Consider the following 15,353-nt stretch of genomic DNA (forward strand, 5'->3'; position numbering starts at 1 on the left):
ACCATTTATTTGATGAAAAAATGGGCAAGTAATCTCAACAGTCATTTCTAGACAGAAGGCATATATATGGCCAACAGAGAAATATTAAAAAATGCTCAACATCACTAATCATCAGGGAAATGCAAATCAAAATCACAATGAAGTATCATCTTACCCCTCTTAGGATGGCTGTTATCAAAAAGACAAAAAATAACAAATGCTGGTGAGAATGCAGAGAAAGGGACACTCTTGATGGGAATGTAAACTTGTCTAGCCGTTATGGAGAACAGTATGAAGGTTCCTCGAAAAACTGCAAATAGAACTACCATATGATTCAGCAATCCCACTACTGGGCATTTATCCAAAGGAAAGGAAATCAGTATATTGAAGAGATGTCTGCACCCCCATGTTTACTGCAGCACTGTTCACAATAGCCAAGATATAGAATCAACCTAGATGTCTAACAACAGTTGAATGGAGAAAGAAAATGTGGTATATATACACAATAAAATACTATTCAGCTATAAAAAAGAATGAAATCCTGTCATTTGCAGCAACAGGCATGGAGCTGAAGGACATTATGTTAAGTGAAATAACCCAGGAAAAGAAAGTGAACACAGTGTGTTTTCATTCATATGTGGTAGCTAAAAAAAAGTTGATCTTGGCTGGGCGCGGTGGCTCATGCCTGTAATCCCAGCACTTTGGGAGGCCGAGGTGGACGGATCACCAAGTCAGGAGTTCGAGACCAGCCTGGCCAATGTGGTGAAACCCTGTCTCTAATAAAAATACAAAAATTAGCCAAGTGTGGTGGCACACGCCTGTAGTCCCACTTACTTGGGAGGCTGAGGTGGGAGAATCGCTTGAACCTGGGAGGCAGAGGTTGCAGTGAGCCAAGACCACACCATTGCACTCCAGCCTGGGTGACAGAGACTCCATCTCACAAACACACACAAAAAAGGTGATCTCATAGAAATAAAATGTAGAGCAGAAGATACTAGAGGTTGGGAAGGATAGGGGAAATAAAGGGGTAGAGAGAGATTTGTTAAAGGACAAAAAATTACAACTAGATAGGAGGAATAAGTTCTAGTGTTCTATATTCTATACCATTGTAGGATGACTGTAGTTAACAATAGTGCATAGTTTCAAATAGCTGGAAGGAGGATATTGAATGTCCCCAACACAAAGAAATGATAAATGTTTGAGATGACAGATATGCTGATTACCCTGATCTGATCTGTATACATCATATGTATGGAAACATCATTATGTACCCCATATATGGGTACAATTATTATGTGTCAATTTTAAAAAAGTATAAATAAAGAACTGTAGTTGCCGGGAACTGGGGAGTAGGGAAATGGGGAGATGTTAGTCAAAGGGTACAAAGATTCAGTTATTCAGAATGAATAATTTCTGGGTATCTAATGTACAATATGATGACCATAGCTAATACTGTATACTTGAAATTTGCTAAGATAGTTATCTTAAGTGTTCTCACTACACAAAAGAATTGTAACTATGTGAGTTGACAGATATGTTGATTGGCTTGATTGTGATTCTCATTTTACAATGTATATGTATATCAAAATCATATTGTACACTTAAATATTTACAATTTTTATTTGTCATGTATACCTCAATAAAGCTGGAAAAATTAAAATGTAGAAAACTTATAACTATATAAATTGCTTTACACTGTCCATGCTATAATTGTCATATATGTTACATCTGTATGCATTGAAAGCCCTACCAGATGTAGTAATTTTTATCTTAAAATCAATCATATTTTAAAGAACTCATAAGGAAAAAATATATTTACCCTCGTTATAGATACCCAAGTGTTGGTTGAATTGTGCCCTTCAAAAAATAGATATGTTGGAGTCCTAACCCCCAGTACCTCAGAATGTGCTTATTTGGGGATAAGGGCTTTATAGAGGTAATCAAGTTAAAATGAGGTCTTTAGGAAGGCCTCTGTCCAATATGAAATAGGAAAAATTTGGGCACAAAGATACAAGCACAGGGAGAACGCCATGTGAAGACGAAGGCAGAGATCGGGGGGATGCATCTCCGCTGACACCTTGATCTTAGACTTCTAGCCTCCAGAATGATGAGACAAACATTTTCTATTGCTTATGCCACCCAGTGTGTGGTACTTTGTTATGGCAGCCTTAGCCAATGAGTATGCTAAATATTTCCCATTTCTGTTGTTACTCCCTCATTCCTGAGGTCTCAAGCTTCCCTCTTATTTTTCCCTTCAGACTGAGCAACTTCCTTTAGTGTTTCTATTGATTTATCTTCAGATTCACTGAATTTTTCCTCTGTCTTCTCTGTTTTTGCTACTGAGCCTGTAATGGGTTGAATAGTGTTCCCCACAAACTCATGTTGAACCAGAGCCTTAGAATATGACTTTATTTGGAAATAGGATCTTTGCAGATGTAATTAGTTACGGATCTCAAGATGAAATCATCCTGGATTTAGGGTGGGTTCTACATCCAGTGACTTTTTGTCTTTATAAGGAAAGAAGAGGGAGATTTGGATAGGAAAAGCATAGAAGGAAGAAGGCCATGTAAAGATGGAGACAGATATTGGACTGATGCTGCCACAAGCCAAGGAATGCAAAAAGCCACAAGGAGCTGGAAGAGGGAAGGAAGAATTCTGCCTTAGAACTTTCGAAGGGCATGTGACCCCACTGATACCTTGATTTCAGACCTCTAGCCTCCAAGGCTGTGGGAGAATATGTGTCTATTATTTTAAGCCACTCAGTTTGTGGTAATTTGTTACAGCATCCCTAGGAGACCCATACAGAGCCTTTCCAGTGAGATTTAATTTTTTGAATGAATTTTTTAGTTTTAAGATTTGGCATTCAGTTCTTCTTTAGCATGTCTATTTCAGAGAACTTCTATCTTTTAAATTACTTAATGAATACTTACCTTTACCTCTTGCAACCTGGTTATAATAGTTACTTTAAACTCTGTCAGATAATTAATTCTAACATCTCAAGTTAAACATCTGTTCATCATTTCTCCCTTCCCAGCATTTAGCTGGATCTTTGTATGTTGAGCAATTCTGGATTCTGTCTTGGACATTATGATTATTACTCTTGGTCCTGTGAAAATCTGTTTGGTTTATGTTCACAGGAAATCAACCTAGTAGTTGGTTTCAAATCACAGGTCTCATCTCCCCTTCTGTAACCAGTGTTTTGATGTTGGGGGTATGAACCTTGGCAGGATCCTGCCTGCCATTGGTCACACGCATGCACAGGTCACAGGTGGGCCTGGGACTTACACCTGATCAGACACAAGGCTTAGAGGATTCCCTTCTCCAGCTCTTTTCTCTTTGGGTTCCCGTATGTAATCTTGGTCTCCCAGGGACCCATTGTCCCATTCCTCTGGACAGAAAGATAGGTTTCTTTTAGAGTTTTAGTTACCCATGATCCTGCCACCAGTTCTGCATGACTGATTCAGTCCCTGGGCAGAGTGGTAAGGTAAAAGAGCAAAAAAAAAGACAGTAAGAGTCCTGAAATCCCTCCCCGGCTCTGCCCTTTAGAGCACAGGGTCTTTCTTTCCCTGTTCCTACTGCCAGAAAAGACCTTTTTTTTCCTCCTCAAAGTTGTAGCTGCCTATACGGCTACTGCACATTTCCCTATTTGGGGCCACTCTAGTGGCAGGGTGAGGAGAGTAAAAACAAGACAAATAAGAAAAAATGTTCAGAGAGTTTCTCCACATTTCCTAGCTCACAGTGGACCTCTCCACCATTCTCTGTCAAAAGAGGGAGCTTCACCCTCTGAGTTGCTCATACCGGCTGGGGTGCTCAGTTCCACAACTGAGGCCTTCCGTGGATCAAACGTGAGAGACAAAAGAGGAAAAAAATCAATAGGAAACTCTCTCATGAGGCTTTCTTCCTCAATTTTTGTTTTCCCTTTCCACTCTCCCTGTTACTGTCTGCCTTTCAGATAGCTGCTTTTTGAATTTTCCAGATGTTTTAGTTGTGCTGTTTAGTTGGACCGAGAGGCTGTAATAGACTTGCTCCATCTTGCTTGGCATCGGGAGTGGGTCTATCTTTTAAAATTTCTTTTGTTTATCTTTCATTTCTACATGATTGGACAAAGGGGTGCTTCAAAGTCTTGAGTTTAAGCCACGCACAGTGGCGTAGGCCTGTAGACCCAGCTACCTGGGAGGATTGCTTGAGGCCCAGGAGTTTGAGGCCAGCCTGGGCCACATAGCAAGTCTCCATCTCTAAGAAAAGAAGAAGCATAAACTTAGAGTGCCATCATCAACTGAAAATATTTGGTGCTTAAAATCAAAACTGTTATTTAATTTTTTTGAATATATGTAACACTAACAGAAAAGATTCCTCTCAAAGACTTTGCAGTGTATAGAAGTTATTGGAAGTTATGTTTTGATGATTATATGATCATTGTCTAGCATGGAATCTGGCGTATTGAAGATGAAAACTATTTTTATGAAGTTAAGGCTCTAGCATTCATTCTGGTCAAATATTCTGGTTGCACAAAATAGAAAACAACTCCAAGAGGCTGAAGTAAAAGGGGAAGTAGTTGTGTGGGCTCTGAAATCTCATGGAATCCAAGAAAAAGAAGCAAGAGGTTCATCTCAACTTCCTAGCAACAACATTTGGAATTTGGAGTGCTAGGAGAAACCAAGGCAGCTTCTTTCCCATACATACATATATATATATATAATTTTTTTTTTTTGGTGGGGAGGCTTGCATGATTCCTTACATTTATTACTCTCTATTTGCTTAATCCTCTTTCTCCACAAAGTTATCAGCTTCTTAGTGACAGTACTGAGTTACTGCATCCATCTTGCCCAAAGCCAGCTCTGCCTCAGGTTAAAATAAATTTCATTTATGTGAATCAATCCATTTTCTGTTATATTTTAGGCACTTTGGGTTGGCTCGAATTGCAGAAGAAATCACCCTAAAAAACCATTCACCTCTTTATCCTATTCAAGCTTCCATCAGCTTTGAGATTCCAACTCTCTTCTCTTTCTCTAGATTTATTTTTTTATTTTTTATTTTATTTATTTTTTTGAGACAGAGTCTTGCTCTGTTGCCCAGGCTGGAGTGCAGTGGTGCAATCTTGGCTCACTGCAACCTTCGCCTCCCAGGTTCAAGTAATCCTCCCGCCTCAGCCTCTTGAGTAGCTGGGATTACAGGCACACGCCACCTTTCCCAGCTAATTTTTGTATTTTTAGTAGAGAAAGGGTTTCACCGTGTTGGCCAGGCTGGTCTGAGCACCAATTAAACCCAACACTGTCTTATGTATTTTCCATGTATTCACACATTTAATCTTTGAGGATATGCATGAGATATGTGAAATTATTTCCCCTTTTTCCATATGAGGAAACTGAAGTCTAGAGAAGTTAAGTAAATATAGTTATGAAATGGCAGAAGCAGGACCAGAACTCAGGTTTCTCTTACTCTAAAGCCTAAATTCTTAACGACTTCACTTGAATGCCTCCCAGAAACTATCAGGCCGTGGTCCTTTTACCAAGGAAGAGTTTGTGCTTTGTGTTATCAATTAGGAAAAATGGGGAAAAAAAGATCATTTCCAGGGAGCAGTGAGAGCCAGACCATCTCTTAAATATGTCTGTGTGCATGTGTGTGTGTGTGTGTGTGTGTGTGTGCATGGGTGTATATGCTTCAGGCGTGGCGTCTCCATGGTTTCTTTGAGTAAATGTGAAAGGTGATTTACCTTACCTAATTAGATTAATGGAATATTAGCTTAAGAGTTATTAATGTTGGTGACAAATATCTCCTTCATACCCAGTGGCTCTAGCTCACCTGTTATACCTGAGAACAAGTAAGCATTGCTCACCATAACTGTTTCAAGGTTTGCTTTTGCTCATGCTTCTGGACAAAGCAGACAAGATAATTCACCTGGATGTGGTGGAAAAGGTCACTGCTTTGTGAGGACTGACTTGGAAGACTGTGGTAGGTGATGTTAAACTTTGTGTGTACACACAAGCTCTCAAAAGTCACATTGTAGTGGCAACACAAACATGCCCTGCAGGGTGGCACACCAGCGAAGAGCCAGCTGGGAGCCCAATCTTTCTTGGCATCCTCAAGGTTGAGTTGATCCTAGTACCAAGTGCTGTCTTTTTGGTATTGGCCAGAAGCCCTTGCAGAGATAGAAAACACCTGGCTTAATTTTCCAGGCTGGGGCAGGATGGGTTAGCACGTTAGAAAGAGATAAAGGCGATGGCAGGACTCATCGCTTGTTTTTGTGAATACAGCAAGACTGATCCAGCAGTCAAATGATGAACATGGTAGGTGGTGAATAAGGCAGCTCCTTACAGCACCCCTGGAGTTGATGCTTTTCTTTTGGCTTCCATTAACCTTCAATAACGATGGGATTCCCAAGGGCTTCAGCACAGGTACAAAGAAGTGGAGGAATTAAGTAATAGCTTAGAGGAAGCAATAGAGTTTTCCCTATTGACTCCCCCCTTCCCCTTGTCAGCAATACAGTGAGTTGACAGATGATTGTAGCTTACTGCAGCATTTGGTTCCAGCTGTGCACACGGCATGAGTAGTAGCGGGAACATTGCATTCCCCACCTGTTCATCATGTTCAGACTAGCAAGTGTGTGTTTAAGTTCAGGCTGTGGTGGGGGCAGGGGTGGGTGGGTGGGGGGGTGGCCTGTGTTTATGTGTGTGTGTGACCAAATTGCTTCTATCTGTGAGGATTTTGTCACAGCCTAGGAGTCCAGGCTAAATGAGTCATGTTTTCTTTTTCTTAGACAGTCAAGTCTTTTTTTTTCAAAAAGTAAGCAATTAATATTCTCTCCCAGCCAGCTCCCTCACTTTTGTTAGATGAAGTCACCATCAAAGACATAGAAGCCAAGACAAATTTTGGTATTGCCTGATACTTTAGTTTCAGATATAACATGAGGACAGATGATTTATCTTAAGAAGCTTTCTTTTATTGGCAAATTACCTAGCTGATAGTTATAAATTTATCTTCCTCTACTTACATATTCCTTTTAGGAAAAAAGAGAATGAGAGAATCCTATACTTATATCCTTGAACTAGTTAAGCTACCTCAACTATTAAGAAATCCTGATTTTGGAATAAAATGCTAGCCATCGTAGTCACCAACTTCACCAACTTCTGGGCCCCTCTTGCCTCTTTGATAGCTTCAGTGTAAGTAGAATTCATTCATTCATACATTCATCCATCACACATTTATCAAGTATCCATGCTCTGTGTGTTATATTTTGGTATTTATTGAATTACTCATGCACTTGTTAAAAATGCAAACACCCAGGCCCCGCCTTCATCCTACTGAATCAGAATCTCCAAGGAGTAGGTACTAGAAATATGATTTTTAAAAAGCCTGTTTTAGAGATGCTCTAGGAATAGAGATGAAAAGGACAGTCCTTTCTACCTGCTAGATCATCATACAAATGAATAGATAAGCTAGAGCAAGAAAAGTCCATCTAAGCCATGATAAAATATGTATGGCACCCATGAGAGAGAGAGGTTGCTTCTACTAGGAGGAGGAGGGGTTGCCTAACCAGTTGGTGTAGTGCTTGCTCTCCATCAGCTTGGCTGTTGGGGAATGGTCAGTCTCCTAGAGTGTATGTGACGTTGCCTCCAAGAGTGGGCATTAGATACAGAAAGAGGGAATACATCTTGCCTTGTACTGTCCTAATCTAGTAGACATCAATGGACTGAAAGGACAGGGCTAGAAGGAGGATGTGCTAACTTGTCAATGTGCTCATTTCTGATGAACATTTTGCAGGTTTCTCTTTGGCAGTGCGATCAAGGCTGGAGATTCACAGTAAGGAACTTAGAAAGCTCATTGGGCTTACCACCAGGAAAAATAGAGTTCGGCTCTGTCCTTGCCACTTATTAGCTGGACAGTTTACTTAGTCTGTTGCCTAGTTTCCTCCATCTACAAAGGCAGATAATAAAATCTACATTATGGGATTGTTTTGGGAATTATATAATATATAGTACATAAACTGCTTGGCATTGTGCCTAGCATGTGGTTGGTGCTAATAGGTACTATTTATTTTTAGTAATAATATAAGTAATAATGGACCCCCATTTGGGTCCCCAGAAATGACTCCTTCTCAGGCCATCAAACCCAAACTCCATATTTACAGTGGCTCTCAACTATTTGCTCTGTCCCAGCTCCCTGGAGGGCTATGACACTGTCATAGCAGTCTCACTGGCTCAGGGCAGTGATTCTCAATCTGGGGCCCACTCTTTCTAGCTCAAGTTGGCTTCCTACCCCGGGTAATTTGGACACTGCCTCCTGTCCCCACAAGGGCACTTGCTCATCACTCCTGTCCCCCACTGAGATTTATTGCTTTGGGTGGTAAGTCTTCAGCAGGGTGTGCACACCTGCAGCTCTCAAGGAGTTTTGTCAAAATACACATGCTGCATCCCACCTTGGACCTGGTGAATAATTTCCCTGGTGGGGCATTGGTAAGTGTATTTTGTCTTCCTAGGAAATGCTGATCTATAGGCCTGGTTGAGAATTATTATATTTGTGGATATCTTTCTGCTCAGCAATGTCTCACTCAGCTTGCACAGCATGAAATCTTCTAGCAAAAATTAATGGTGTCCACATAGCTTTTCAAAGCTCAGAGATACTGACCCTGTGTGACAAACTGAGGAGGCAGAACCTTTGGTGATAAGGAACATGTGACAGGAATAAGAACTCTGTGTATAAAGGGGCCATGTATATCACCCTACACATGGTGCATACATCATGGTACTTAATAAAATGCAGCACTTGTTATTATTGGTATTCGTTGTGTATTGGCCTCAGGGTTCCTGGCTCTGAAAAGACCTGTTCCCATTTTAGGAGAAAAGACTCCAAATCAGGGAATTAAGAAACCACCTGGCTGTTTGGGAAGCATTTAGAAAATATGACAAGAGGTGTCATACACAGGCTAGCAGCAGAAATTTCAAGAAAGATAATTACTGTAAACTTTGTTTTTATTTCCTCTTTTGATTCTGAAATTAGGAAGAAGAGCAGTGTGTTGGAAGCTGGGGTGCAGATGGTAAGTGATGGTCTCCTAAGACTCAGTTCCCGAGTTCTACAAACAGCAACACAGCAAACCCCAGATTGCCACGGGCTCTGATTTTTGTCTCTTAGTATTCATACTTGAAGTGTGGGGTTCCTAGTTGCTGTGCAAAAATGACTGTAGCCATGTTTCCAACTGAGCCTACTGGCGATGTCCAAAGCCCCTGCCAAGAGCCTCAGAGCAGAGACTTTAGTAGAAGATGGAAAATGAGTGACTCAACAGAGCGAGGAAATTGTCTTCTCAGCTTCCTTTAGATTGTCCAGAAAGGGAGATTAGAAAGGCTCCTCAGAACTAACACTGGAAAGGGAGTTTATACCATTAGGGCAAAGATTGGGAGACAAAGGTACTGAAGTCAAATGAGACTTCTGTGAAATACTTTGGAAAGTACAGATTTTGAGACTACATGAACAGCAGCAGCACCAATAACTGTATCACTGGTGCGGGCTATAGACATCAGCTGGGAATGAAGGTGATTCTCAGGGCCCTTAATTTAGCCATCAGCCCCCAGCCAGACCTAAGCCTGCAGCTGGCTGCACAGAGAGGCAGCCTGTTCCATCCTTGGAATTCCAACTTAGGTGACTGCACAAGGCATTTTGGTTTAGTGGTTCCTTAAATAAGACGACATTCCTTTAAGTCTAATCTCTCTCCTGCTGAAATTTCCTACCCTCTTGGGTTTTACCATTAAACTGCTTGCTCTCATCTGAAAAGTGCAGCTAGCAGGGTGCAAGCTAGTGCTCTAGTGACCGTTAAAATCTATCCTAGGACAGCTAGCACGCACGGAAAAACTTGCCATTCGCCGCACACCCACTCCCCCCCGCCCCCACCGCTATTCTTATCAGAGAGAACATGGAAAATATTCTACTCCCTCTTCCCCTTATTGAAGGATGCTGTGTGTACATCTGAATGGGGGTGGGATGCGGGGCGGGAGTGGAGTCTAGCTTTCGGTCCTCAACAAAAACATAATGATTCCCAGCAAGCCAGAGCTGTGCAACCAAGGAGGCAGGATCCTGGCCTCTCTCGGATCTGCAGGAAGGGTGGGCTGTGCGGGTCCAGAGTGGGATGCCCGTTCTGGCCGGCGGTGCCTGCTGAGCCCTTCCTGATGTGACTTTATTAGACAAACCCCCACTCCCGCCAGGGGTAGACACACGAGTATCTGCTTTAGGAAGATTTCTGCAACACGGCAGGGTGCAATTCAAACTCTGGGTTCTCCTTTCCTGAGCTTAGAAACCAATTTGTTCGGAGATAGGAGAAGGCTCTGTTGGCAGAAGACCTAAGAGACGGGAGGAGGCGCCTGGCGTCAGCGGGTCGCTTCTCAGCCGTGACCACGAGCGGCCAGCAGGTGTCAGTGCGTCCTCGCTTTGCCCTGGCGCTCGGCTCCTGGACCCCTCCCCACCTCGGTCTAAGGGGGCGCGGTCCAGACCCCGGGTCTTGCGTTTCCCGCAGACAGCATCGCGGCTGGGAGGACACGTAGCCGCTTCTTCCCTAAGCGGAGGTCTGAACTCCGGCTTGTACCACTTCCCCGTGGGTGCTGTCCATTCCGCCCCAGGGGTTCCATCCGAAGCCGCGCCTTCCTCCCTCTCCAGGACCCCTTTCTCCCCAGCCTCCAGGAGCACCTGCGGACCGCGTCGGCTCTGGCCCGGAGCTGGGCTGCTCCAGACGTAACTCACACCGGAGGTTACTTCCCTCGATTTGGGCGGGGATTCCCTTCCATTTTTTTCTTCCCTTTTCTCCCAAGATCCAGCTTCTTGGGGGCACTCACGGGTGCCCGTTGCGTTCTGCTCCGTCGGCCCGGAGCTGCATGGCCAACTCCCAGCAGGGGCCGCTCCTCCCCTACCCCCCACCCCCGGGCTCCCTCTTTAAGTCTCTAGCTCAAGGTACCCGCCTCTCCAAAGGGCTCGTCCCGCCTGAGGGCAACGCTCCCCGAGGTCCAGCGCTAGGCGCGGGCGCTAGACTGGCGGAGGGGTGGTGCGAGGGGCGGGGGAGGGTCGGCTTCCCACGTGGGGGCTGACGCCGGCTGCTCAGCAACGCTTGCTTGATCCTGGGGCTATAAAACGAGTCCACCGTGAGCGCAGCGGAGCAGCAGCAGCTCCAGCTCGGTGCAGAAGCCCAGCAGCCGGCGTGCCGCCGCCCGGCCACTCCAGCGCCTTCTTCCCCGCCTTGCGCTCCTGCCCCAACTCGCGCTGTCGTCGGACCCCGGCCCATCCAGCAGCGCTCGGCGCCCACCAGGCGGACGCCCAGGAGAACCCCTGCCTCCGTCGCGGCTCCTGGAGAGCTGATCGTTCACCTGCCCCGGCCCGCCTGAGGACGGGGGTGCCTTCATGCGGCCCCCACACTCCTCACCCCGCCGCCGCCGCCGTCCCGGAGCTCCGCACAGTGTGCCCCAGCCCCAGCAGGGCGCACAACTTTGGAAGTCTCGCGGCGCTCCGAGAGGCGGCAGAGTCCGCGCCCCAGCCCCGGGCCGGGCCGGGCCAGAACCGCAGCGTCTGGGGGAAGCCAGAGAGTCGGTAATCGCTTCGGGGATGTAAGGCGACAGACATAGGACCCCCGAGCTCGCATCAGCACCCTTCGGCTGCCTCCCGGGGTGGGGGCGGGCCCCGCACACGGTAAGACCTCTTGCTTTCGCTCAGGCTCAAGATTCAAGATACAGATATTGATATGTATATATATATTTAATTTCCTGTCATCCTTCCAAGTTATCAGGCCACCGATGATTTTTGTTCTCCCTTCTTGAAGAATAAATCTCTCTTTACCCATCGGCTCTCCCTACTCTCTCCCGCCGCTTAGAAATAAAACTTGGCTGTATTAGGAGCTCGGAGCAAGAAGGCGCCCACCGAGAGCGTCTGAAGCGCGAGCCAGGCGCAGTTCGCGGGACCCGGGCCATGGGCCGCTAGCGGTCCTCCAGTTCGGGCCCGGCCTCCCTGCGGCCCCCTCCCTATGTGAGCCGCAGCCAGGCGAGCGGGGCGCCGGAGGAAGAGGAGGACCCACGGGCGCCGGGCCGGAAGGCAGCTGGCAGCAGGCCCAGGCCAGCGGGCGCCCGCGTTCATGTTCCGCCAGGAGCAGCCGTTGGCCGAGGGCAGCTTTGCGCCCATGGGCTCCCTGCAGCCGGACGCGGGCAACGCGAGCTGGAACGGGACCGAGGCGCCGGGGGGCGGCGCCCGGGCCACCCCTTACTCCCTGCAGGTGACGCTGACGCTGGTGTGCCTGGCCGGCCTGCTCATGCTGCTCACCGTGTTCGGCAACGTGCTCGTCATCATCGCCGTGTTCACGAGCCGCGCGCTCAAGGCGCCCCAAAACCTCTTCCTGGTGTCTCTGGCCTCGGCCGACATCCTGGTGGCCACGCTCGTCATCCCTTTCTCGCTGGCCAACGAGGTCATGGGCTACTGGTACTTCGGCAAGGCTTGGTGCGAGATCTACCTGGCGCTCGACGTGCTCTTCTGCACGTCGTCCATCGTGCACCTGTGCGCCATCAGCCTGGACCGCTACTGGTCCATCACACAGGCCATCGAGTACAACCTGAAGCGCACGCCGCGCCGCATCAAGGCCATCATCATCACCGTGTGGGTCATCTCGGCCGTCATCTCCTTCCCGCCGCTCATCTCCATCGAGAAGAAGGGCGGCGGCGGCGGCCCGCAGCCGGCCGAGCCGCGCTGCGAGATCAACGACCAGAAGTGGTACGTCATCTCGTCGTGCATCGGCTCCTTCTTCGCTCCCTGCCTCATCATGATCCTGGTCTACGTGCGCATCTACCAGATCGCCAAGCGTCGCACCCGCGTGCCACCCAGCCGCCGGGGTCCGGACGCCGTCGCCGCGCCGCCGGGGGGCACCGAGCGCAGGCCCAACGGTCTGGGCCCCGAGCGCAGCGCGGGCCCGGGGGGCGCAGAGGCCGAACCGCTGCCCACCCAGCTCAACGGCGCCCCTGGCGAGCCCGCGCCGGCCGGGCCGCGCGACACCGACGCGCTGGACCTGGAGGAGAGCTCGTCTTCCGACCACGCCGAGCGGCCTCCAGGGCCCCGCAGACCCGAGCGCGGTCCCCGGGGCAAAGGCAAGGCCCGAGCGAGCCAGGTGAAGCCGGGCGACAGCCTGCCGCGGCGCGGGCCGGGGGCGACGGGGATCGGGACGCCGGCTGCAGGGCCGGGGGAGGAGCGCGTCGGGGCTGCCAAGGCGTCGCGCTGGCGCGGGCGGCAGAACCGCGAGAAGCGCTTCACGTTCGTGCTGGCCGTGGTCATCGGAGTGTTCGTGGTGTGCTGGTTCCCCTTCTTCTTCACCTACACGCTCACGGCCGTCGGGTGCTCCGTGCCACGCACGCTCTTCAAATTCTTCTTCTGGTTCGGCTACTGCAACAGCTCGTTGAACCCGGTCATCTACACCATCTTCAACCACGATTTCCGCCGCGCCTTCAAGAAGATCCTCTGTCGGGGGGACAGGAAGCGGATCGTGTGAGGTTTCCGCTGGCGCCCGCGTAGACTCACGCTGACTGCAGGCAGCGGGGGGCATCGAGGGGTGCTTAGCCCCAGGGCACTCAGAAACCCGGGCGCTGCCTGCTCTGCGTTTCCTCGTCTGGGGTGGCTCTGCAGCCTCCTGCGGGCGGGCGTCTGCTGCTCCTACAAGGGAAGCTTCTTGCTGCCAGGCCCACACATCCCCAGTTGTTGGTTTGGCCACTCTTGACCTGGAGCCATCTTCCTAGTGGGCCACCCCTAATCACTATTGCTTCCTAAAGGTATTTTCACCCTCTTCGCCTGGTACAGCCCTCACAGCTCTTCAGAGCAAGCACTGGACTACAAGGGCATGGCTCACAAAAGGTTAATGGATGGGGGTTACCTAGCCCTGGCTAATTCCCCTTCCATTCCCAACTCTCTCTCTCTTTTTAAAGAAAAATGCTAAGGGCAGCCCTGCCTGCCCTCCCCATCCCCCGCTGTAAATATACACTATTTTTGATAGCACACATGGGGCCCCCATATCTCTTGGCCTTGGTTTTGATGTTGAAATCCTGGCCTTGGGAGAGATGCCTTCCAGGCAGACACAGCTGTCTGGTTCAGGCCAAGCCCCTTTGCAATGCAAGCCCTTTCTGGTGTTATGAAGTCCCTCTATGTCGTCGTTTTCACCAGCAACTGGTGACTGTCCCTTCGACACGGACCTGCTTTGAGATTTCCTGACAGGGAAAAGATTTCTGTCCATTTTTTTCCTGTGCCTAACAGCATAATTGCCTTTTCCTATGTAAATATTATGATGGTGGATCAAGACATAAGTAAATGAGCCTTTCTGCCTCACATCAGCCCTGTGTATAAAGCCATTATTCTCTGATGCACTGTTTGCCCCAGTAACTCACTTTAAAACCTCTCTTTCCAGTGTTCCCTCTCTCCCTCCAGGGCCACTGCTTGAAGAAGAATATGTATGTTTCTATCTTGTATGTCTGTGTGCCCCTCCTGCCCCGAAAGTGCTGACTATGGGGAAATCTTTTAGCTGCTGTTTTTAGACTCCAAGGAGTGGAAATTATGTGGAAGAAGCAAACCTGATACAATTTGCCCAAGGTAAACAGTTTGAAAAGACAAATGGGCCTGCCAAACTGTACAGTTTCTTCCCCAAGAGCTGTTAGGTATCAAAATGTTGTCCTTTCCCCCCTCCGTGCTTTTCTGGTTGAGATCATGTCATTGATGAACTGCCAAAGTCAGGGGAGGAGGGCAGAGACTTTGTGTTTACATCTGCATTTCTACATGTTTTAGACAGAGACAATTTAAGGCCTGCACTCTTATTTCACTAAAGAAAAACTAATGTCAGCACATGTTGCTAATGACAGTGGATTTTTTTTTAAATAAAAAAGTTTACAGATCAAATGTGAAATAAATATGAATGGAGTGGTCCTCTTGTCTGTTATCTGAGTTTTCAAAAGCTTTAAGACTCTGGGAACATCTGATTTTATGGATTTTTTAAAAATAAAAAATGTACATTATAAAAATTTTTTAAACGTTCCATCAGTAACAAAGCTACCATTTACTAAGTGTTTCTGACATGCTAGACACTGTGGTGAACTGGTTGTAGGCATTGCCTCGTTTACTTTTCTCAAGAACGCTATGAGGTAAGTTTTATTACTATCCCCATTTTACAGGTGAAGAAACTGAGTCTCAGAGCAAGTTTGTTAACCTTGCTCAAGGTTAACAAGTGGTGGAAATGCATCGTACCCAGCTTTATCTGGTTCTAGGGCCTGCACTCTTAACCCCAGAACCTTTCCAGAGTTTTGGCATTAGCCCTTCTCAGAACACTCCCAGTGGAGAGGTGTCTATGCAGTGTGCTATCTATACCAGGTGTGAGATATATCCCA

General features: G+C 47.5%; 1 protein-coding gene across 1 annotated transcript, besides 1 other annotated feature; it reads left to right on the forward strand.

The window, feature by feature from the left end:
* Positions 11,075-11,124: a silencer, noted in NCBI's record as "silent region_2830". NCBI's record gives its function as "represses an Ori minimal core promoter by ATAC-STARR-seq in GM12878 lymphoblastoid cells {active_cell/tissue: GM12878}" and the evidence as "EXISTENCE:reporter gene assay evidence [ECO:0000049][PMID:35858748]".
* Positions 11,112-14,990, forward strand: ADRA2A (adrenoceptor alpha 2A). The gene has a single exon (NM_000681.4). It carries the CDS (start codon positions 12,080-12,082, stop codon positions 13,475-13,477), a length of 1,398 nt encoding a protein of 465 aa, NP_000672.3. The 5' UTR covers positions 11,112-12,079; the 3' UTR covers positions 13,478-14,990.

The sequence above is a fragment of the Homo sapiens genome, chromosome 10 (genome assembly GCF_000001405.40).
Source record: "Homo sapiens chromosome 10, GRCh38.p14 Primary Assembly".
NCBI classification, from domain to species: Eukaryota; Metazoa; Chordata; class Mammalia; order Primates; family Hominidae; genus Homo; species Homo sapiens.

Bases quoted from the DNA above. Each gene is read 5' to 3' on its own strand.
- ADRA2A (NM_000681.4), top strand. From the start codon at position 12,080: ATGTTCCGCCAGGAGCAGCCGTTGGCCGAGGGCAGCTTTGCGCCCATG.